The following is a 23,519-nucleotide window of genomic DNA, read 5'->3' on the forward strand; positions in this document are numbered from 1 at the left end:
AATGGTTACATTTTATTTTATGTAAATTATTACTTAATAAAGTTGATTGGAAAGAAATATAGGGAATTTTGAAACCGATTGAAACTCAGACTTTAGTGGAGGTGCACTAATTTCCTGGTACTAGTCTCACCAAGGTGGCAGGGTGAGGCTGGTTCTACCTGTTGGAAAAAAAACCCGAACTGCATTCAGCTGCTGTTCTAGGAAAGAACTGCTGGGAAAGAAGCTTTTTTAAGGTGCTGTTCACCTAGGAATGGAGAAGAGACAGGATGTCAACAGGAAGCAAACAAAAATGAGCAATTCCTTTCCTCCTCTTCAGGCCTTGTATTCTCCCTCTAGTGTGCCCCAGAGCAGAAGTGGGTTGCGTAGTCTTGATTCCAGCGTCATGTAGTGACTATAGCATCACAGGTTTGGAGGTGAGAAACAATGGCTTAATAGCTGGCACCCCTAATATGCGCCAAACAGTGTACTAAGCCTTGCAGGTTGGACAAAGATGGAGAGGCTAGTGTTTGCCTTCAAGGAGCTTACAGCATCACAGGGCATATAAATCTCTGTGTCAATAGCTGTAACCAAAGTTACAGTGAGATATTGCTATTCTGGGATTGTGGAAACAAAGTGCTGTGGGTGTCCAGAAGGATCATGAGTCATTTTCAGATGGGGATTTGGAGAGAGTTCTTTAGGACAAGTGGTGTGTCAACTGGGGTGGGAAAGTTGGATAAAATTATGACTGTTAGAAGTCAGGTGACAGTGGAGTTGATGGTGAGGATGGTAATGGGTATAGCAGGAAGAGCATTCTACCCTGGCTGGTAAAGTTCATGTTATTTAATTCGAACTTAGGATATTAGAAGAGCAGCCCAGAGGAATTGAGATGAGTTGAGGCCAGATCATGGGGAGTCAGTCATAAATACCATGCTGAGAAATTTAGGCTTTTTTTGTACAGGCAGTGGTGTGAAGTCAAAGCCTTCTAACTTGAACCATAAAAATTATTGTTTTATCATTTAAACTAGTGATTTTAAAACCTGAGTGTTTATCAAGCTCAGTTGGGGCAACTTCTGGAACTTTCATACACTCAGGTACTATTCCAGACTTTCCTGAATCAGATTGATAATCAGCTCAAACTCCATTTTTCTCACGGAGTACTTTCTTGATCACTGTACTGAAAGTGGCTCCCCAGTTATTCTATATCACATTTTATTATTTTATTTGCATAGCATCACTTAATCGTCATTTGTACTGATCTTGTTTACTTATTTGATGACTTGTTTTTGTTTGTTTCTCCCAAGTAAAACACACGTTCCGTGTAGGGAGGGACATGGTTGTCTTCCTCACTGCTGAAACCATGGTGCCTGCAGTGGTGCTGGACACATGACAGACCATCAGAATAATATTTTTGGTGAGTAGATGAAAAGTGCAGGTTGTATTTTAAGAAAATCTGTTTTAAAAATGCTCATCAGTCTATTTCTGCTTTATTTTTGAACCACCGATTTAAATAACCCCAAATCTGTTCCAATTTAGATGACAATAAGATATAGCGGTAGTCACTCTAGGAAATTAACTATACTTTCAGGGTTCCTGGGGCTTTCTAAACCTTAGAATATCAGGCTGGCAGGGGGAAGATAAATGTTAATTGAATTAAATTAAATTATTTTAAGTTCATCCAAGTGAGCGTGAAAACTTCTTGAGCAAAGAAGCCATGTTTCTCTGCTTAAATGTCTTTAATTCTCCAGGTGACTTCTTATTCTTCTTTCAAGAGTCCTTGGAAAGGTCTTCTCTTTTGGGAAAGCTTCTGTGACCCTCAAAGTAAATGGATGTTCTTTCCCTTGCATTTCCATAAAAGTAATACCTAGCACTTATTAAACATTTATTATGGGCCAGACCTGCACTGTCTAAACTCCAACGTAGGTATTATTGCTTTTAATCTTTACAGTAATCTTATGAAGTTGTTCCCATTATTCCTATTGTATCAAGGAGGTAGCTGAATATAAGTAAATTACTTTATTGATAATAAGGGCGCAAGGCATCAATTCAGTCCCTCTGACTCTGGAATTTTGCACTGACTTATCAAATTTGGCTGATTTTCCACTAAGCTCTATTCATATCTTCATTAGAGAACCTTACTATATGCTTGTTATTTGTATAACAACCTGTCTTCTTTGGGTTTGTTTTATAAAGTATTATTCAATTTTCCAACCACAGTATCTAGCCCAGGGTTTGGGCACAGTAGTTCTTCCATAAAGGTTTTCTGAGTGGATGAATATGGTTGCTTCTATAGTGCTTGGATTGTAGGAAGGAAATTACATAGTGGTTCCAACCTAGTAGACTCAAAGAACAGGGGAGTATATAGCACTCAGTGTTCATCCAGGAAAATGGAAAACATTAAATATTTAAAACAGAGGCAATTTAATGCGGAGGGTTGGTTGTGTGAGTTTTAAAGGAGGAGCTGGGAAGTCAAAGAATGATGTAGCAACCTCACAATTAGCAATGGCTGGAAGCCGTCACTGCCTTAGGCAGAAGGGACACATGGAGGAGGTGCAGGTGGAAACAATGCCAGGCCTGTGCTGAGGGGACTTGAGGATCTGAGGAGTTTCACTGGCTACTGGAGATTCAGCCTAAGGCAGAGTGGGAAAGTGAGGCCTGTCCTACTTCTCTTTCTTCCTGTCTTATAATCTTTTTCCACTACCTTTCACTGGCTTTCCATGGGCACCTGGGAAACTGAGCCTGCAGGAGTCAAGGCCCCTCTAACACAAAGCAGAGCAGGTAGAAGGTGAGAAAGATCTCAGGGCAAGCAGATCCAGCCCTGGCACAGAGTAGAGGGCTTTGGCATCAGCAGAATGTGGGTTGAAATTTGTAGTAGGCTGCAAAATAGCCTCTCATGAGGTAAAGGCTCTCTCTACTGTGAGCTTAAATCTGGGCTGGTTTGGGGACTGGGTTTGGCTAATGGGAGAGTAGCAAATGTCATGCAAGCAGACCATTAAGGGGCTTGGGCTGTAATCCTGAAAGACCTAATCCCGAATGCCATAACATCAAAAATAAAATTCTGGGAAACAATTTAGAAATTATTTAAAAGACATTTATTTTCATTTATAAAAGGGGACTTACTTGAGAAACATAAGAAAACATGACAGAACACTTCATAGGCCACTTTAAATGATAAAACAGGTAATAATAACCTACATATTTTTGTAAGCATAAAGACTCAGGTACACTGACAGTGCCAGGAGTATAACAGTTATGGGTAGATGAACCATAGTCATAAAGGAATAGCTTATATAACTGTGGTCATCTGAAATACCATGATGAACGACCTGTCTTTTGTTGAGATCAAAAAGAGCTGAAGAAAAGTCTGTCCCAGCGCTCAGAGGGAGACGGATTTTCTTTCTGTGTGTGTTCTCTCTGGGCCCCTGGTCAATTGGATGTTGCCCACTGATATGGTTTGGCTGTGTCCCCACCCAAATCTCATCTTTAATTGTAGCTCCTATAATTCCCATGTGTTGTGGGAAGGACCTGGAGGGAGATAATTGAATCATGGTGGCGGTTTTCCCCATACTGTTCTCATGGTAGTGAATAAGTCTCATGAGATCTGACGGTTTTACAAGGGGAAACCCCTTTCATTTGGTTCTCATTCTTTCTTTTTGCCTGTTTCCATGGAAGACATGACTTTGCTCCTCCTTTGCCTTCTGTCTTGATTGTGAGGCATCCCCAGCCATATAGAACTGTGAGTCAATTGAACCTCTTTTTCTTCATAAATTACCCAGTCTTGGGTATGTCTTTATTAGTAGCATGAGAACAGATTAATACACCCACCAATATTGAGGGCAGATTTTCTCCCGTAGTCCACTTAGACTCACACAGTTATCTCTTCTGGAAACACTCTGCAGACACACCTCAAATAAGGCTTGACCAGGTTTCTAGGTATTTCTTAATCCAGTCAAGTTGACATTTAGAATTAAGTTCACAAGTCTACCCCTTATCAACTTGGCACATATATGTATCTCCTTAACTTTACTAAATTCCCAATAAGATAACAACAAGGTAATAGTTCCACCTAACATGATGAAGGTAACATGATGCAACTATCACATATACAATAAAAAATGCACTACTTGTGATTTTCAGAATTTTAAGATGCTAGATATTTCAGACTTTAGGGATTTAAATTTTAGGGACTTTGATCATTTGGGATTTCAACATTTGGGATTGTGTCTTTTGAGATTATGATTAGTACGGAGGATCAAAAAGTGTGAGCACATTGAGACTTGCCCTCTCTAGCTGTGAGTGGAACCCTGCAACTACCATATGAATGAGTCCAAGCTAGGTTTCTGCAAAATGGGAAGCCACGTGGATGAGAATCCAGGTATCCCAACTAGCCAATAGCTGACTGCGGGCACATGGGTGAGGCCCAGGTGAGATCAATTGAGTCCAGACCAAATTGCTGACCTAAGGATTTGTGAGTTAAATAAATGGTTACTTTCTTAAACCACTACATTTTGGAGTAGCTTGTTATGCAGCAAAGCTAACTGATAGATAATCCCAGCTCTGCTACTTACTAGCTATATGACTTTGTGCAAACTATATAATCTCTAAAGGTCACTTTCCTTCTTTGTAACATGGGAATAATAGTAATCCTGGCACCACAGGACACTTGGGGAGATTCAATGAAATAATGCTCGTGAAATAGAGCCACAGTGCTGGACACATGATGAGTGCTCAATAACTGTAGCCAGGACAATGATGATTTTAGGCTTTTTCAGCCTATCTGCTCTAGTTGTTGACCCTCCCTATGTGAAAAAAAAATAAGGAGGTTATTACTTAACAGGATAGGAATTGACACAAATGTCTTATTAAGAAGCTGTCTTAATTTTCCTACTGGCAGGAGGCAAATGAAGAGGGAAGATTTTTTGTTAATTAGAATTTAAAAAATACACAATTGTCTCATCAGAATAAGTCTATATGTAACTCTAAAGCTAAATCTCTGAAACAGAGAGGACATTCACTAAGGTGTGGCTTGAATGACAATTGTGATTCACATGGATTGTACATTTGTATTAGAGATGCTGTGGATAATATTATGTCAAAAAGTGCAGGATTCTAAATTGCTGAAACTCATCAGTTCACAGAAAACCGACATGCACTGCCATATTCCAGATGCTTGATTGTGGTTCTTTAATATAACGAGTTGCCAGTTCCTCTCTCTAGAGAACGATTGACAGATTGTAATGCAATCTGTTGATGTTCTTTGATGGTGATTCTCAGTCATTGCCACCACTACTAAGGAGCTTGGGAGTCTGACCACGGAGCTTTGCTCTGGAAACTGTGTGTCAGTGTTGGGTGTTGCGGCAATTCCAATTGATATTAAAAAAGATAAACTATCAGCTAAAGAGTGGGATTTGAGGATCTTCAAAAAATAAGCAGAAACTGGCTAAGTATATTACACACAGAAGCCAACAATTAAATTACTGTGTGTGTTTTATGCAACAAGATGTCTTCACAGGAGACAAAGAAAAGCTGATAAAAATGAATTATAGAATGAATTATAGGAGGATTAAAAGACTGTAAAATCTAGATCTTGTTGAAGCTTGTATCTTTAAATCTTTGGGCAGGGGTGACGCTGGGAAAAGTCTTGGTGTGGCTAAGAAGGTAAGCCTCCCCCTGGGAGGAGTAAGCTCACAGGTCGCAATGCTATTGATCTTTGGTTATTATACATAATGTTGCTTTCAGTTGATATTTAAATATTATTTTATTTAATCAAATTATAAAAAAAGTACATGTTCATAGGTGGTAGTATGGTACAGTAGTTAGTTGTAGAATCAGCCTGCCTGTGCTCAAATCCTTCATAGCTATGGGATTTGGGGAAAGATATTTCACCTCTCTTAGTCTTGTGTATATTATAGGAAAAATGGTGGGACTTGCCTCATCTGCTCGTTTTGAAGATAAAATGAAATAAAGCTTGGAGACTGCTTAGAACAGTGTCTGGAAAATAGAAAGCACTCTACAAATATTAGCTATTAGAGAAAACTTGGAAACAACAGCAAGGATAATAAAAAAATCACCTATCACCCAGAAAGCAATTACCATTAATATTTTGATGTATTTCTTTTTGGAGTTCATGCCTTCTTAAAAGGATGTAGGTGAACTCAGAGAAACTCTGAAGAGACTGGAATCTCTATTACTTAGAAGAATTTCTTTAGGGAGAAAATGGAAAATAAAATCAGTTCAAATGAAAACAATTTATATACTCTAGCAGGCGGAGATTTAATAGAATGCAAATTCAGAAGATGCATTGGGATTGAAGGATCATTTTTATAAGATGTTTTTGAACATCTACAACATGCAAATTTGGAAAGTTCTATTATAAACAGCGTGGGTGACGGTATGGGGAAAAGGATTAATTTTAACACTGTTTTTGGAGTGAAAATTGGTGTAGCCCTTTGAAAGGGCTGTTTGGCAATGCCATTTTTAAATGTAAGATTTTAATGTACATGCTATACCCTTAGACTTAGCAATATCATGCTTGAATCTTTTCAAAACAGGGCAAACCCAAGAATTGGCCATTGTTAGCAATAGTAAAAGATTAGAAACAACCTAAATGGCTGTTTAAAAAAAGGGGTAATTATGACAAATGATGGCATTTCCATAATATGGAATACTATGCAGGCATTAGAATTAGTGAAGTAGGTCTACCTAAATGGCTTCGTAAGAATACCTGCACCATAACACTTTAAGGGGCAAAGGCCAGTTGCAGAATAATACAGATATTACTGTATTACTCCATTCTCATGCTTCTATAAGGACATACCTGAGGCTGGTAATTTATAAAGGAAAGAGGTTTAATTGACTCACAGTTCCACATGGCTGGGGAGGCCTCAGGAAACTTAACAAAATCATGGCAGAAGGGGAAGCAAACATATTCTTCTTTACATGGTGGCAGGAGAGAGAAGTGCCAGCACTGGAAATGGCAGAGGCTTATAAAACCATCAGATCTTGTGAGAACTCACTCACTATCATGAGAACAACATGGAGAAAACCACCCCTATGATCCAATCACTTCCCACTTGGTCCCTCCCATGACACATGGGGATTATGGGAACTACAATTGAAATGAGATTTGGGCGGGAACCCAGCTAAACCATACCAACTACAATAGCATTGATGTTAAAAATAAAAACAAGTCGTACATTTCTATGTATACACAAGGTGAAATTGAACAGAAAAAACGCTGAAATGATACACATCAGACTAAGTGCTTAACTCCAGGTCAGGGAGGGGAAGAGGTGGGGAATTGGGACTCAAAAAGGGCTTCACCTTGTTTATATTATTTGCATTATTTACAGGGAGAGGGCAGTTATGTATTTTTTGAATCATTATTAACTGAACAGATTAAAAGTTTACAAAAACCTGAGTGTAAATTTATAAAAATATTTTTATGGAAAATGACACTTCTGATTATGTTAAGACATATTTTCACAAAAGTCTCTAATTTTGCAAAAGGCTGGGGAAAACCATATTTAGTACATTTGGCAAGTCATTTATAAATAAACAGAAAAATACTCAAATATAAGATAGTTTTTATAGTTCTGATTCAGAACTTCTCCTCTATCTCCATTAAGAAGTTTTTAAAAAAAAGAATTAGAATTTCTTTTTTTTTTTTAATTATACTTTAAGTTTTAGGGTACATGTGCACATTGTGCAGGTTAGTTACATATGTATACATGTGCCACGCTGGTGCGCCGCACCCACCAACTCGTCATCTAGCATCAGGTACATCTCCCAGTGCTATCCCTCCCCCCTCCCCCAACCCCACAACAGTCCCCAGAGTGTGATATTCCCCTTCCTGTGTCCATGTGATCTCATTGTTCAATTCCCACCTATGAGTGAGAATATGCGGTGTTTGGTTTTTTGTTCTTGCGATAGTTTACTGAGAATGATGATTTCCAATTTCATCCATGTCCCTACAAAGGACATGAACTCATCATTTTTTATGGCTGCATAGTATTCCATGGTGTATATGTGCCACATTTTCTTAATCCAGTCTGTCATTGTTGGACATTTGGGTTGGTTCCAAGTCTTTGCTATTGTGAATAATGCCGCAATAAACATACGTGTGCATGTGTCTTTATAGCAGCATGATTTATAGTCCTTTGGGTATATACCCAGTAATGGGATGGCTGGGTCAAATGGTATTTCTAGTTCTAGATCCCTGAGGAATCACCACACTGACTTCCACAATGGTTGAACTAGTTTACAGTCCCACCAACAGGGTAAAAGTGTTCCTATTTCTCCACATCCTCTCCAGCACCTGTTGTTTCCTGACTTTTTAATGATCGCCATTCTAACTGGTGTGAGATGGTATCTCATTGTGGTTTTGATTTGCATTTCTCTGATGGCCAGTGATGATGAGCATTTCTTCATGTGTTTTTTGGCTGTATAAATGTCTTCTTTTGAGAAGTGTCTGTTCATGTCCTTTGCCCACTTTTTGATGGGGTTGTTTGATTTTTTCTTGTAAATTTGTTTGAGTTCATTGTAGATTCTGGATATTAGCCCTTTGTCAGATGAGTAGGTTGCGAAAATTTTCTCCGATTTTGTAGGTTGCCTGTTCACTCTGATGGTAGTTTCTTTTGCTGTGCAGAAGCTCTTTAGTTTAATTAGATCCCATTTGTCAATTTTGTCTTTTGTTGCCATTGCTTTTGGTGTTTTGGACATGAAGTCCTTGCCCATGCCTATGTCCTGAATGGTAATGCCTAGGTTTTCCTCTAGGGTTTTTATGGTTTTAGGTCTAACATTTAAGTCTTTAATCCATCTTGAATTGATTTTTGTATAAGGTGTAAGGAAGGGATCCAGTTTCAGCTTTCTACATATGGCTAGCCAGTTTTCCCAGCACCATGGAGGCTGGTTCAATATACGCAAATCAATAAATGTAATCAAGCATATAAACAGAGCCAAAGACAAAAACCACATGATTATCTCAATAGATGCAGAAAAAGCCTTTGACAAAATTCAACAACCCTTCATGCTAAAAACTCTCAATAAATTAGGTATTGATGGGACATATTTCAAAATAATAAGAGCTATCTATGACAAACCCACAGCCAATATCATACTGAATGGGTAAAAACTGGAAGCATTCCCTTTGAAAACTGGCACAAGACAGGGATGCCCTCTCTCACCACTACTATTCAACATAGTGTTGGAAGTTCTGGCCAGGGCAATGAGGCAGGAGAAGGAAATAAAGGGTATTCAATTAGGAAAAGAGGAAGTCAAATTGTCCCTGTTCGCAGACGACATGATTGTATATCTAGAAAACCCCATTGTCTCAGCCCAAAATCTCCTTAAGCTGATAAGCAACTTCAGCAAAGTCTCAGGATACAAAATCAATGTACAAAAATCACAAGCATTCTTATACACCAACAACAGACAAACAGAGAGCCAAATCATGAGTGAACTCCCATTCACAATTGCTTCAAAGGAATAAAATACCTAGGAATCCAACTTACAAGGGATGTGAAGGACCTCTTCAAGGAGAACTACAAACCACTGCTCAAGGAAATAAAAGAGGATACAAACAAATGGAAGAACATTCCATGCTCATGGGTAGGAAGAATCAATATCGTGAAAATGGCCATACTGCCCAAGGTAATTTACAGATTCAATGCCATCCCCATAAAGCTACCAATGACTTTCTTCACAGAATTGGAAAAAACTACTTTAAAGTTCATATGGAACCAAAAAAGAGCCCGCATTGCCAAGTCAATCCTAAGCCAAAAGAACAAAGCTGGAGGCATCACACTACCTGACTTCAAACTATACTACAAGGCTACAGTAACCAAAACAGCATGGTACTGGTACCAAAACAGAGATATAGATCAATGGAACAGAACAGAGCCCTCAGAAATAACGCTGCATATCTACAACTATCTGATCTTTGACAAACCTGAGAAAAACAAGCAATGGGGAAAGGATTCCCTATTTAAGAATTAGAATTTCTGACAAGGGGAAGATTTTCAAGCTTTCAGTAAGAGTTGTTACAAAACATTTTTGTTACAAAAAATGTTCAGTAAGGTGGAGCATTTTTTGAGTTATTTTTTGAGATATTAGTGTAAGGATTATGGGTGCTTTGCAACAAGGCTCTTGGCTTCCTCCTCTACTTTGCCAGTTTCTTTCAAGAATTCTCAGGAATCCACTAGACTAGTGGTTCTCAAAATATGGTCCCAGCGACCAGAACCTACATTACCTGGACCCATGTTAGAAATACAAATTCTCAGCTGCACTTCAGCTCTTCGGGTGGGGTAGTTGCTCACTAATGTTTGAGAACCATTGTCTTAGACAGTAAATACTTCGAAGTCAGGGGCCATTGAATTGCCAGATGCTCACTCAAGCCCTAGGATGCTATATTTATTCAATGAATGAGCAAGTTTTGGAGATGGAGAAAGTGTGGGTATAGCAGAGAGGTGTTTGTAGGCTACAGAGGTCAATGTGATAAATAACTAACCTTGGAGGTACTGAGTTAGCACCCATCATACTGGAAAATTAAATAAAAAGTAGGGCAAGATCTCTATTTTCTGAGAATAGAGATCTTGCCCTACTTTTTGTTTAATATTCCAGTAGAACTGTATATTCTTCCTGGAAGGAAAAAACAAATATATGTGGAATATTCAGAGGCTAATAGAAGTGCCGATTTTCTCATTTCTTAGGTTGAGTTTAGAAACAGGAGAATTTTCTGATGGGTTGAATCTGAATTGGTCTTTCTTTGACCTATTTACTAAATTGTAGACTATTATATATTGCACCTAGGAAACTAGTAATGGTTAAATAAAATAAGCATGCTCTTTTAAAATACCAATCTGACGATGCCATTCTCTTGCTCCAAGTTTTTTTTTAAACTATATGCCCACTTTCACAGTGATTTTGCACATTAGCCTTTAAAAATACAAACCTTCATTCAATTATTCACTTATTCATTCATTTTTCACAAATATATATTGAGCATTTCCCATGTGCCAGGCAAATAATATTTTTTCCAAATGTGAGTGATAGTCCTCAAAGTGCTGAATTTAAAAAATGTAAATGATATGTAATAAAATCCTTCTTTGCCTCAAGTGAAATCGCTCACTCATATAATCAGTCCCATTATGTAGTGAAGATTTGGTGATTATTTAATAAATTTCAATCACAAGGTCAAATGGGAAAGCTGATGCTGCAGAGTTGGTTCCCTGGATCAAAAGACCTGATTTTGTTATCTGCAAAGATCAAATAAATGGAGAATTTCCAGATATCTACTTTATTTTGTGTTTGGTGGATACAGACAGAGATGAGCAATAAAGCTGAATTTTAAAAGATAAGAAAACCAAACGCCGCATGTCCTCACTCATAAGTGGGAGTGGAACAATGAGAACACATGGTCACAGGGAGGGGAACATCACACACCGGGGCCTGTCCGGGGCTGGGGGGCTGGGGGAGGGATAGCATTAGGAGAAATACCTAATGTAAATCATGAGTTGATGGATGCAGCAACATCAACACGGCACATGTATGCATATGTAACAAACCTGCACATTGTGCACATGTACCCCCAAAATTAAAGTATAATTAAAAAAATATAATTTCAAAGATGGAATAACACTTAGGGGAATAAACTTTATGTTATATGAAGAGCATTGATTACATTAGGTCAGAGGGAGCTGGGTTGATAGACAGGAAGACCAGTGATCTAAGACTCTGGAATAATCAAGGGGCGTGCTAGCAAGTGGTACAGAGGACACTTGGGTATTAAAGTCTAACCATTAGGAAAAAGGCCTCCATCATAAAATGTCTTTTGTTTGCTGCTGAAACCTTCAGATTCAGGTACAATGGGATGAATAGATCAAAGTGAGTTTTCTGTGATCTCAGATTTGGCACTTTTATTTGTGACCCAGAGTTAGTGGCTGGTAAACCTGGCTTTGGAGTTTACCAGGAATGGAGAATTCAAGATTGTTTTTAGGTGGCAAGATGGGTCAGAAATCATAAATTGCTCACAGTTCTGGTCCGTGATCTCCTCCAGCACAGGGTCTGTGTCCAGCTCACCTTTGTATTCTGGGGGCACCCAGAACCAGCTTAGTGAAGATCACTAAAAGTCATTGGATTGACTGAATCTCTTGTTTCTTTATCACTCTTCAGATAAAGTCCCCTCCTGAAAGAACTCTTCCCAAAGCTGGAAAGACCAAGAATACCCAAGAAAAAAACACTTGTTTCTGAAGATATATTTTCACCTTAGAATGTCATCTTTATAATTTTAATAGCAAATATCTGACCATCAGTGCAATGAATTTTAAAGACTTTTAAAGAGTTTAAAAAAATGTAGCAGCTTCTTGCAAAATACACACTGATTTATTTACTTTAATATTTATTAAAGTCACCAAAAGTAATTTTTAAAACTTTTTAAAAAAGTGGTAAAAAATATTCTGACTAGTTTATTTAAATTCCTCCCTTTGCTATCTTAGTGTGTTTGGGCTGCTATAACAAAATCCGTGAACTGGGTAGCTTATGAACAACAGAACTTTATTTCTCACAGTTCTGGAATCCAAAATCAAAGTACCAGCAGATTTGGTGTCTGGTAAGGGCTTGCTTTCTGACTCATAGATGGAGCACTCTAGCTGTGTCTTCGCATGATGAAAGAAACAAGGCAGCTCTGTAGGACAGCTTTTTAAAGGGCTCTAAATCTCATTTATGAAGGTTCCACCATTGTGACCTAGTCACCTTCCAAAGACTCCACTTCCCAACATCAACACATTGATGACTACAACGACTACAAATTTTGGAAGAACACAAACATTCTGACCATAGCAACCGCCCACAAACATCCAAATACTACCCTGGGGAGTGAGATGGGAGGAGAAAACCTGAAAAACTGAAGATTTTTCAGAATCCTTCAGGAAGACACTAAGATTTCTAAAGAAAATAGTAGGGTGTGGGAACCTGGCCTATACTCCTTTGATGAGCTTGAGGCAATTAGGTAAAAAGTTTGTCTTTACCTCTTCAAATCCCAGCTCCTCATCTTTCTCTCTGTGCCTTTCTCTGCAACAGAAAGACCAGATGAATGAGGCACGTGGCTAAAGAAGGGACTGAAACTTCCTCTAACAGAATATACTTGGTGCCATTGCAGTACAGGTGGACTTAAAGAACTGCCTGCCCCTTTTCCTATCCTCCCCTGCATGTCTTTCTTCAAGACTCGACTTTTATATTATCTTGAAGACTTCATTCCCTTAGGTAGAATTTCACTTCTGGGCAAACTGTATTGTAATTATATGTCTTCATGTCTATATTCATGAAGGCAGTGAGTCTATAAGATAGCACTTTCTGATTTACTGTTGTATCTCCAGTGACAAGTAAGGGCCTAATCTATAAAAAGCATTCAATAAACTGAATGAATAAATTAGTCATAGGTTGAAGCATCTGCATTGGAAACTATGACTTTTCAAGCTTAAACATTAAAAGGGGCATTCCATGAATGAAGAACCCATGAAATGTTAAGATCTTGACATCATAGCTGGGACATGTTTTGAGCCCAACAGTTGAGTGTAGGTCACTCTAATTTAAAGAGTTCTATGAAAGGTTTGAAAAACTGCTCTAAAACTTTATTAAAAGTGACTGTAACATATTGTATGCAGAGGAGACATTGCTTCTGGCCATTGCCCAGAACTCTTGGGAGAAGTGGATGAGAAAAAAATCAAATGACAGATTTATACAGTGCTTTACAGTTTATGAATTCTTTCCATAGGTTACTTCATTTGATACTCATAAAACACTGTGAAGTAGGCACAGATTTTTGTTCTCATTTTAGAGATATGAAAAGAGAGGGTCAGAGATGGTAAATGACTTGCCTAGGTCTCAGAGGCCTGTGCTTTTGTCATTTCACTTAGGCTCTGAAAAGATGCCATCTCTTCCACCTCTTTTATCTTTATTTTTATATGTCTGAGCAGAGCCAACATATAACTTCTGTGGTGGAATAATAAGAGCTAACATTTACCAAGTAGCCATTTTATGCCAGATGCTGAGTTAAACACTATTTGTGCATTGACTCATTTAATGCTAATAAAATGCATCATTATTGCTATGGTTTGAAAAGATCTGGATAGACATTTCTTGAAAGACATACAAATGGGCAACAGATATATGAAAAAATGCTCAGCATCACTAGTCATCTGGGAAATTTAAATCAAAACCACAATGAGATATCATCTCGCCCCACTTAGAATGGCTTTTATAAAAAAGACAGGGAATAATGGATGCTGGTAAGGATGTGGAGAAAAAGCAACCCTCATACACTATTGGTGGGAATGTAAATTAGTACAGACACTATGGAGAACGGCGTGGAGGTTGCTTTAAAAACTAAAAGTAGAACTATTGTATGATCCAGCAATTCCACTGCTGGGGATATATCCAAAAGAAAGGAAATCAATATATCAAGGGGATATCTGCACTCCCATGTTTACTGTGGCACTATTCACAATAGCCAAAATATGGAGTCAACCTAAGTGCCCATCAATGGCAGACTGGATAAAGAAAATGTAATATACATACATAATGAAAGTTTTTTTAGATATAAAATGATGAAATCCTGTCATTTGCACTAACATGGATGGAACTGGAGGTCATTATGTTAAATGAAATAAGCCAAGCACAGAAAGACAAATATCATATGTTCTCACTTGTATGTGGGAGCTGAAAAAGTGAATCTCATAAAGATAAAGAGTAGATTGGCGGTTGCCAGAGCCTGGGAACGGTATGGGGGAGAGAGGGATAAAGAGATATTGATCAATGGGTACAGATATACAGTTAGATGGAAGAAATAAGACCTGGTGTTCAATAGATCAGTAGGGTGGCTATACTTAACATTAATCTATTGCATATTTCAAAATAGCTAGAAGAGAATAGTTCAAGTATTTATAGCATAAAGAAATGATAAATATTTAAGGTGATGGATAGCCTAATTACCCTGATTTGATTATACAAATATATTAAATTATCACACATACCCAGAAAAATATGTATCTATTATGTATCAAAATAAATAAATAAATAAAAGGTACAAAAGAAAAAAAATAAGCACATAAAATACTATATATAGTATGCCACAATTTGTGTGATAGAGGAAAAAAAGAATGTGCATACATTTATGTTTATAAATTCACAGAATCTTTCTGGACATACCTATAATAAACTGGCATTAGAGGTAGTCTTAGGGAGAAAGATTAGGAAGCTGCACACAGCAGAGAAAGGAAGACTTACTTTTGACTGCATTCCATTTTGTGGTTTTAAAACTTTTTACTATATATCTATATAACCTCTTCACAATAAACAATACATTAAAACGAAATTAAATATAATAAAATTATGAGAATTTTTCTTTTTAAAAAGATTAACTTCTGTTCTTTATAAATTACTCATTCTGTTGTTATCTGTTACAGGAGCATAAAATTGACTAAGACAATTATTATCCCCATTTTATAGGTGTGGAAACCAACACATAAAGAAGTTAATCACCTTGTCCATGTTTGTGTAGCTGCTAAACAGCAGTGCTGGGTTTAGAATTTAGGCAGTCTGACTTCAGAGAACACACGCTTAACCAGCCGACTACATTGTCATGCAAGAATACAGGTTCTGAAGTTAGACCACCAAGGCTGGAATACTGGCTGTTACTCTTGCTAACTGGGTGGCCTTGGCCAAGAAATGTAATCTCTCTAAGCCTCAGTTTTCTGATTTATAAAATGAGATTAGAAGAATGAAATAAGCCATACCATCTGGCACACAGTAAATGTTTATCAAATATTAGTCATTTATTTTGTCATTTATTATTATTTATTCTGCTTTTCAGCCCTAGACCTGTTAATGGCAGACAGTGACAGAAAGTCATTTCTGGAACTCTAAGAGTTTGGTCCATGAAATCAGAACACAACAGATGAGAAAAGAGCCCTGTAACTCACTCTAAGGAGGGAGAATAACTCTCGGGTTACCAAAACTTGATGATAGCTTTAACAATAGAATGCCAAAAAGTGTGAGGATGAAAGAGCAGTTCTCAGCAAGGAAGTACATAAATATATACATTGATACATGAATGCATGCATAATTCATTTAGAGTGGCAACACTTGGGTGTGTATGGCCAACACTGTCCAGGGAAGAGGACCTAACTTGGCTATCTCCTTTCTGGTGCTTGGAAGATACATCAATTAAGGATTAAGTATGGCTGCATAAAATACAATGCTGACTCCCATGACTTAACCCAGTGGAGGATCATTTTTCTCACATGGAAGTCTGGTGATAGACCATATGGGGCTGCTACTACCAGAGATCCAGCCACCTTCCATGTTTCTGCTTTGCTGTCGTTGGCTGTCATCCTCAGTTTGCCTCATGGTAACAAGATGGCTGTTATTCCTCTAGCTTCTGTGTATTCAGGTAGGAAGAAGAATAAATGAAGTACAAGAAAGAAGAAATGGCATTTATATTTGGAAGAGAAAACATTTCCAAAAATTCTTTTTTTTTTTTTTTTTTTTTGCGATGGAGTTTTGCTCTTGTTGCCCAGGCTGAAGTGCAATGATGCGATCTTGGCTCAATGCAACCTCCACCTCCCAGCTTCAAATGATTCTCCTGCCTCAGTCTCCTGAGTAGCTGGGATTACAGGCGTGCGCCACTATGCCTGGCTAATTTTGTATTTTTAGTAGAGACAGAGTTTCACCATGTTGGTCAGGCTGGTCTCGAACCCCTGACCTCAGGTGATCCACCCGCCTTGGCCTCCCGAAGTCCTGGGATTACAGGCATGAGCCACTGCACCCGGCCCATTTCCAAAAATTCTAAGCAGACTTCTTACATGTCGTTGTCCAAAACTGTGTCAGCAGGAGCTATTAAAAAGAAAATAAAAACAACCATGGGAAATAGATAAGCAGTTGTGCAGAAATTTTGTCCCCGTTGATCCATTTTCCAACCTTCTCCATTCTTTCTGCTTGTGGAAGCTGATCTTTATGGATTGCATTATTGTGCTCCCAGACCTTTGGCTTACAGGCAGGAGACTGGAGGGAATAAAGGGAGAGAGGTCAGGGTATATTTCTTCCTCAGCTCTTTCCATGCAAGGTTACCCAGGGGTGGCTGTGCCCTCAAACAATGATCATGCATTTTCTCAAGATGGCCCTTTATATAAACCTTTTTCCTGGGTTCCAGCAGTCATTCCTTCCCTTGTCTCTTGAGGCTTATGAGGTGGCGACAGCCTGAGGATTATGCAATTTTCCTACATCTTCCCCACACTTTTGTAAATATTAATATTCCCCTTATTAAATTTCCCTCAACTCATCCTAACGTACATGTATGCTCTTAGTTTCCTGATGGAACTTTGGCTGACATAGTAATTATCAGTGTCTTCCACACAATACATATTCTTATGATGGAAATAGGTACATTAAATAACTACAGAAAGTGCCATTATTTATTTGGCCAGTATTTATTGAGCATCAATGTACCAGACACAATGCTAGATAAAAGTTCAATTTCTTTCCCTCAAGTAGCTCACAGTTATTTGGACATATATGTCACCCAATTCACTCTTTTTGCTTCCTTTCTAAGCTTCTTGTCAACTCTAAAAATGACAATTTGGCTTTTCATGTAGCCAAATGGGCTGGCATAAAGACTGAATTTAATATTTATAGGAAAATTGAAATTGAAAATTGTATGGCATTAATATTTGGGAGAGAAAACATTTCCAAAAAAAATTCTAAGCAGACTTCTTCTTACATGTCATTATCCAAAACTGTGTCAACAGGAGCTAGTAAAAAGAAAATAAAACCAACCATGGGAAATACATAAGCAATTGTGCAGAAGTTTTCCTATAGGTATAAAATTCACTGCTTATGCTATCCCAAGATCTGGCTGACTAACAATTATATTCTTACTGAAAATGAAGACATCTAACATGGTGTCTGAGCAAGAATTTTGGAGTCAGATCAACATTCAAAATGAACTCACCAAATGTGTAACCACAGGCAAATTACATAATCTCTGTGAACCCAAGCAGCCTTACCTAAGATGGGGGCTCACTTGCATTTACTTCCTCTGGTTGTAGTGAGAACTAAAGGAGTTCATGTAGTTCATGTCCACAAAGCTCTTAGCACAGTGTCTTGTTCAATAAATAAATGGCAGCCATTCCAGGTTATTTATTACTTTCTTGTGAGTTTGGTCGAAGCTATCCTTAAATGGCTGATCGTCATTTGAGAGACTGACTGCTGAATTTCTTGACCTGCACAACTTAGGAACAGATCCCGGTCTCTGATGACCTCAACCAGAAAATGCGACCAAGGAAGACTTTGTCTCTGGGCAGCCAGCAAGTTAGTCTCAGTCCTTTGCTTTGCTTGAGGATCCAATCCACCTTAACAATAAAGTCCCAGTCATTGGAAGTTTGGAGTTTGGAGACTAGATGAGGCATGATAGTTAAGCAGGTAGGAAGCAGAATATTGAGGGTGAGCACAGGTTAACAGGACTAGATAGAGGCAGTAGGGCCAGGCAGGCTACAGGCAGGGGGCTATTTGAGTTCAGGTAAGTCAGAAAATGAGGGAGGGAAGCATCAAATAGCTTAGACGAGCTCAATCCAGGGTACAGGAAATCAAAAGGCTAGGAAAAAATGCCTCTCAGGCAGGGGACACCAAAGATGAATCCTGACTACTTGCTTTCTTCAATCTTTTATGTTTTTTGCTCTGGCATAAGCAGGCAAGTTCAAAGATATGTGATTTTAGCCAGAGGAGGAAAGAGAATTGAGAAGGTACAGTTTGAATCGGATGAAAGCAAGAAGAGAGGGTTAGGAGTTCCAGAATTTTTTCCAGTAAGACTTTGGACAGTTAACAGCCTATTTTGAAAGAATTTCTTCCTGCTTGGCTATTTAATTCACATAACCAAAAGGCTGGAAATAATTCGAAGAGTCTCTCATCATTAAGAATCCACAGAAAAGCAGCATTATACTCATACTCTTCTATGTGGTTTTGATTGTACATTGTTTTTAACTTAATAATACCTTATGACTCCATAGCACATTATAGTTTTCAAAATGTTTTTACTTGGATGATCTAATTTAATCCTTACAGCCACACTGTGTGTGTGTGAGGTAGTTATTATTATCAGTCTGTTGTAGATTCTGATCAGCTCAATTCCACTGAATGTTTATGGAGCACCTATTCTGTGCCTGGCATTCTGTTTGCTGCTGCAGCTTAACTTCCTTCATGCATAAACAAAAGCCACCCTAATGAGACTAAACAAAGGTTATTTATCCAGAGCTTGCTATAGCAAGGGAGTCAGCTACCATTGCTCATGTTTGGCAGATCTCAAAGGCAGTTAGAGGAGTGAGAAAGCTTTGGTGTGAATAAAGAAGGTTTCAGCTACGTCCTGATCGGAGTTCATCACAGGGACTCTGGAAGTGGGCTATCTAGAAGAGGGTTAAGGGATAATAATATCTCTAATATTGGTTAAGGGAACAATATTGGCTTTCTTTGGTGGGCCTAAATTGTAAGTGGGGACAAAAATTAGGAAAGCCATTAATTATTTATCAAATCCTGGATAGTATGGGCAAATTGCTACAGAGATTGTGGTTCATCTCTTGGACTGGTGGCTGCTGAGATTATGGGTCAGGGCTCTATATCTATAGATGGTCTGGCTATTGTCTGTTTATAGCCAGTTTATATATTCAGTCTCTTAATAGTATGGGTGACAAACATGTAATGACACTAATCGGCCAAGGAGCAGTGAGCATCTGCCTGAGAGGATGAAGACATTGATGCAGGGGTGGAGGGCTGCTGATTTGCCCGGAGTCATGAAGCAAATGGAGTGAAGAGCTGGAGTTTGAATCTGGATTTTCCAACTCTCTGTTTTATGTGCTTCCTGATCATGGCTTCAGGAGTGTCTAATTAAGTTTGGGGAAGAGGCGAGCACAGAGCTTTCTTTTAATTTAATAGCAGGCCACTTCTGAGCATGAGTAAAATGTGCCTTTTGTATCTTCTATCTGTGTGGCTGTAGATGATGATCAATGAGACAGCTTCCTATGTCTACTGAAAATTTGGCAAGAGAAATCTGGTACAATTAGCAAAGATGTTGCAGAGACTAGCACCAGATCTCTAACTTTCCAGCCCCATGTCTCCTTTTGGGGGCTGCTTGACTGTTTTCCATTCTCCTGGAGATTATCACCGTTATTTGCTAAACTCCTGGACAGACTCTCATTTCTTTTTTGGTTTTAACGTCTTTCTATCTTACCCTACACTCCATCTCCCTCCACCATCCTCAGAAAGTGTGACAACTGTGCTGACCACTCTTCCGTTATTATGGCTTCACACATCCTATCTTGTTTTTTTCACTAGACAAAAATTTAGCAGGCGATGACTAGGTGTCAGGGACTGTTCTATTGTGAGGAATACAGAGGCGAAAGATAGTAAAAGTCCTTGCCCTAGTGGTGCTTACACTCTGGGGGAAGCAGACAAGACACAGATAAGAAAATGGATAAATATGTTATGCCAAGTAGTGATAAGTGCTATGAAAAATACTAGCAGAGGTCAGAGTAGTACGGTCTGGTGTGTGTGTGTCCATGTATGTGGGTGCAGTTGCTTTGGGTAGCATGGTCAAGGTGGTGACTTTAAGCAGAGGCTTGAATGAAGAGAAGGAGTGAGCCAAGGGATGTTCTAGAGGGACATCATTCCAGTTAGCAAGAACAGCAATTGCAATGACCTGGGAAAAAGTTTGGTGTATTTGAGGACTAACAAAGAGGTTTATTGGCCTAGAGTGGGTTAGTGAGGGAACTTGTGCTATCAGTTTAATAAGTAAATTTTGAATCTGAGAAAGAAGTGTCAATAAAAGCAGGAGAGCATTTGTTTGCTAATCCCACTGGTTAAACGAAACACACATAACTGATGCCCATTATGTTTTTGGTAACGAGGATGCATGTGTCTCTCCAGTTCATTGCTCCTTTCTATTAGGAATATTATCATGTGTTAAAGAATCAACTTTGAGAAACATCATTTTTTAAAAATTTTATTGTGTTTTGTTATTATGCCCACATTTTTTGACCTTGACCTAAAGTTGTATATTGTTCATGAACTTGAGAATATATATTCAATAAAGAAATATATATTCAAGAAATACAGCAAAAAAATGAGAGGCATGAAAGGAACCTGGCATATAGTAGACGCTGTTGGGTTGCCTACCTGGCACTTCCTCCTCCTTCTTACAGCACTGCCTTGCCCTTTCATCTGAGAAATGTGCTTAACTCCACACCAACTGTGTAGTTTTAATAAAGCTGCCATCTTCTTCTTATGAAAGTCCCTCACCCCCTCACTTCCAAACTCTAGGCTCTTCAGCACAGTTGATGATCCCAGATGGACAGTTGAACTAAGCTAGCTAAATAGAGAATTTTCATAGATGTTTTCTGGGCTGGAGCTTGAGAAAAAGTTTCGAATCCACTTGGATGACAAAACCCGCAGATGAGTGGAGGGTTGAGATTTATTCATAGCCATGTACTTGGCTTTGAGGAGGTACCTTCCCAGAGAGAATGAAGCAGACAAGCTGAAAATAACAAGGATGAGAGGCTGGTGGCATTTTATCTGGTTCTATTAATCTAAGAAGCCTGTGTTCTTATTCTTCCCTTGGTAACCTGAGCCTTCACATTCATGTCTCTTTTTAGTTTAAGCAGGTTGGAGTTGTCACTTTCAATCTGAAGAGTTCTAAGAAATGCAAAGTACATTGTAAAATATATAATAATGAGTTTGGGTACGTGGTTTTTTCTTTCAAAATTGTGGTTGCAAGTACAGTCATCCCTCAGTATCTGAGGAGGATTGGTTCTAGGACCCCTGCAGATATCAAAATCCATGGATACTCAAGTGCCTTATATAAAATGGTGTAGTATTTGCCTATAACCTATGAACATCATCCCATATACTTTAAATTATCTTTAGATTACTTACAATACCTAATACAATGCCATCACATCACTGCATGGCAAATTCATTTTGATTTGGAACTTTGTGGAATTTTTTCCATTTGCGGTTGGTTAAATCTATGGATGTGGAACCCAAGATATGAAGGGCTGACTGTAATCCTGTAAATACCTGAAGCAATCCTTAGAGTCAAGTAGAACAGAGCTTCTCAAATTATAACGTGCATGCAAATCACCAGGAAATCTTGTGCAAATGCAGATTTTGATTTAGTTGACCAAGGTGTGTCCGGAGAGTTTGCATTTCCAGCAAGCCCCCAGGGGCTGCTGATGGTGCAGGTTTGCAGACCACAATTTAATAAGAGAGGAATCAGACTGCAGAAGTAAATCACCTAGCATAGAGGACTGGTGGTCACAAATCTCCTCTGTTACATACACACCTGTTGAGCTAAGAGAAAACTTTCAGATCCCCAGCGATCTGTTGAGTTTGGATAATTACATGATGCCGTCAACTGGAAAAACAGTTTAATACTAGCCATTATGAAGTTTACACACCAGAAAAACACTGTTTTTGTAAAAATATTTGGAAATGTAAATAACAAATTAAAAAAAAATCCTCTGACAAGCTGAGACAGAGTCTTTTACAGGGACTGCACTGTGCAGTGGAAAGAACAGTCATTCCGGAGCCACGCAGCCTGGGGTTGGAAACGTGCTCCGTTACATTCCAACTGTGAGTACCAAGAAAGCCCTAGTTCTCTCATCTGTCTATTATGGGTAATTTTATGGTGAAAAGTACAAATATGAAATTTTCTTTGTTTCTCTACAACTGAACTGAGCTTAATTTTAAAACCTCCCTGTTTTCCTAAGAGCAGAAATTGCAATCTTACCAAACCTACATATATTCAGTCACATTTCCCTTAGTCCCTTTGGGATAAAATTCACTCAATTAAAGATTCCTTCACCCCACTTCTTGTCCTATTCTCTCAGGAGAGGTCTCAGTTCTGGAGGGCTCAGGTATGGTCAGGCATTGTTGGAAGGCACCTCTACTTCTCACGCTCAGTCATTCTCATTTCTGTGACGGTGTCTGATGCTACTGTCTTGTACATTCCTTATCAATCTCTTTCCAGGAAGTATCTGTGGCTAAAGTAGCTACAGTGCCCTGTGCTTCTGAGTCCTAGTTCCTAGTTCCTTGCAGGCCATTTTGCATCCTTTTTGCCTACTGGACGACCTTTATAGGTCAACTGACACATTCTTGAGAACTCTCGAATTTCTCAAGGATGTATTTTATCCATCTTTTATGTATTGTTCAATAAATATCAAATGTCTACTATATAAAAGCCCTGTGTTAGGCACTGAACCAATATTCTTTTTTTTTTTTTTTTTTTTGAGACGGAGTCTCACTGTTGCCCAGGCTGGAGTGCAGTGGCGCGATCTCAGCTCACTGCAGGCTCCGCCCCCCGGGGTTCACGCCAATATTCCTAACATAGTACTTAGCTTACAATAGATGTTTACTGAAAGGTTATTGGACAAACAGGTATTTATTAACATAGAAAACTTCTAAGAAGAAGTGGAGATATTTGTACAGATAAATGTTACCCAATA

The 23,519-nt window shown here is 38.6% G+C and overlaps 1 long non-coding RNA gene across 3 annotated transcripts in view; it reads left to right on the top strand.

Annotated features, from left to right (window-relative positions):
• Positions 1-23,519, top strand: part of LOC107986262 (uncharacterized) — a 59,101-nt gene continuing 35,582 nt past the window's right edge. For all 3 annotated transcript variants that reach the window (XR_001741598.1, XR_001741599.2, XR_001741600.2), the window contains exons 1-2: positions 1-1,390; positions 22,565-22,647. This is a non-coding gene — a long non-coding RNA (uncharacterized LOC107986262). The remainder of the gene's footprint in view (positions 1,391-22,564; positions 22,648-23,519) is intronic.

The sequence above is a fragment of the Homo sapiens genome, chromosome 4 (genome assembly GCF_000001405.40).
Source record: "Homo sapiens chromosome 4, GRCh38.p14 Primary Assembly".
Taxonomy (NCBI): Eukaryota; Metazoa; Chordata; class Mammalia; order Primates; family Hominidae; genus Homo; species Homo sapiens.